Genomic DNA, 2,062 nt, shown 5'->3' with positions numbered 1-2,062 from the left:
TGCAGGGCTCTCAGCCTCAGACTGTCTTTGAATTAGCCCACCCTCAGTGATGTAGACTTGTTGCTCTGAGAATGTGCTACTGGCTCTGAAAGTAAATCTCACAGAGCAGTTCCAAGACAATTTTTGAGCAATTACAATATCATTAGAATAAGTTTATTTTCTCCCAGAGCAGTTATTTTGAAGGGGACAATACTCATTTAGAGGGATAGTTTCTGATACACTTGCAGAAAGAAAACCCTCCAAAATCTCACTCGAATGCACTCATGGAAATTAAATGAATATACAAATTACCCAGGCTTAAATATGGTTTGAGTGAGGTGAATCTGTGTTTATTTTACTTAGCATCTGCATTTTTGAATTTATAAAGCATCTTTGTGTTGCCTGTTACTTTTTCATTTGAATTCCTTGGTCAAGCTCCAGTCATCATTTGAACGACAAATGTAGCAGTAATATAATGGTTTTTAAAAGACTGTTATTATGCTGTCTTTGAACTCCAGCCACATGTGCCTGTTGTGTGATTATTTTCTTTTTTCTGCATAATTTGGAAAAGCTTCAGATGTGAGTTTTTTCCCTAAAAGCACAGTGTTTTCTCAGTTCCCATTTTAACTGAACTCTGTGCAATGTCAAGAGCTTATCCTGAATTCCTCTTTCTTCCTCATTGCCCACGTCAACAAGCCCTGCTGTGCCTATATCCTAAACATTTCCCCCAAATCTACTGCTCTTCACCTCTATCTCCACTGCCTTTGTTCAAACCATTACCGTCTTTCAACTGGTTTGGGATCTTGCATGGCCTCCTCAGTGCTCTTCCTGCTTCCCCCTTGTCCTCTAAAACCCTCTCCGCACAGGTGACCTGCTGCGTGATGCTCTTGAAAAGTAATTCAGGTCATGTTACCCTCCCACATAAAACACTCCTGTTTCTTTTCATTGCACTTGGAAATAACGTTTTTCTCTGAGGATGCTGCTCTCTATCTCTCCCTCCAGTCTCATCTCAAGCCATTTCTCCAATGAGTTGCTCACGATGAAACCAACTACACTCCTCTGTCTCTATACTTGGCCTGGTTTGTTCTGGTTGGGATACTCTTCCCACTGAATTTTTATGGCTAGCTACTTCTTATCTTTCAGATACCAGCTCAAATGACACCTCTTCAGAGAGCTAATTCCTGGCCATTTAATCTAAACTAGCCACCAATTTACTTCATTATACTATCAGATTTGAATTCTCTATAATACTTATTACTCTCTGATATTTTTCTTCTGCATATATACATTTCTTGTTTACTGCACATAAGATCCATAAAAGCGGAGATAATGACACTTTTTCCTCTGACTCCCCACTGGCTACAATGGTGCTTGCCCATGGTCAACATTCAATAAACATTTGTTTAATAAATGAACAAATATCAAAGTCAAACCTATCTTTAAAAATCTTGCAATTTTCCCATCTCTGATCTCTCAGATTGTTTACTTTGTTGGTCCTATTCCAGTCCTATTCTGTGTCATGTCCTTTCTAAGCCTCCTGGGGCCACCACTGTTATGTGCTGCATCTTTATATGCTACATCCTTTAAGAATGGTTAAGAGCATGGGGTATTAAGAATCCGACCACTTAGGTTTAAAATATGTCTACTCCTGTGTGTCACTTTGGGAAGGCAAATTGACACTTTTGTATTTTCTTTTCCAATGTATAGAGTAGGACTCGTTTCCAGTATTAAATGAGTTAATAATTATAAAATGTTTAGAATCATGCCTGACATATAGTAAGAAGATAGTACATGCTACCTATGTATCTTTTATTTTCAGTTTTTCTGTGATAGTAATTTTCTCTAATCTGTTTATCCAATAGGTGCTATAGGTTCTAGTATATTTATATAATACCACCATCAACTGGAAGTGTAGCAGATTTGGTAAACTGGAGACTTGGGTTAGCATTAATTAGCTGAGAGATTTTGGGAAAGTCACTATATCTTTCTGGGATATAGTCCTGTGTATAATGAATGATCAAATTATACTCATTATAAAATTATAAATGTTTTATAAAATTATAAAAAAATTAGCAGGTGAATC

The 2,062-nt window shown here is 37.1% G+C and overlaps 1 annotated feature.

Annotated features, from left to right (window-relative positions):
- Window positions 506-1,007: an enhancer, noted in NCBI's record as "NANOG hESC enhancer chr6:104748956-104749457 (GRCh37/hg19 assembly coordinates)". NCBI's record gives its function as "activates a minimal SCP1, AML or CMV promoter by ChIP-STARR-seq in naive H9 embryonic stem cells {active_cell/tissue: H9 hESC(naive)}" and the evidence as "EXISTENCE:reporter gene assay evidence [ECO:0000049][PMID:30033119]".

This window comes from Homo sapiens, chromosome 6 (assembly GCF_000001405.40).
Source record: "Homo sapiens chromosome 6, GRCh38.p14 Primary Assembly".
Classification (NCBI taxonomy): Eukaryota; Metazoa; Chordata; class Mammalia; order Primates; family Hominidae; genus Homo; species Homo sapiens.
Note: the sequence above shows the minus strand (reverse complement) of the source record. Positions and strands in the feature narration are given on the sequence as shown.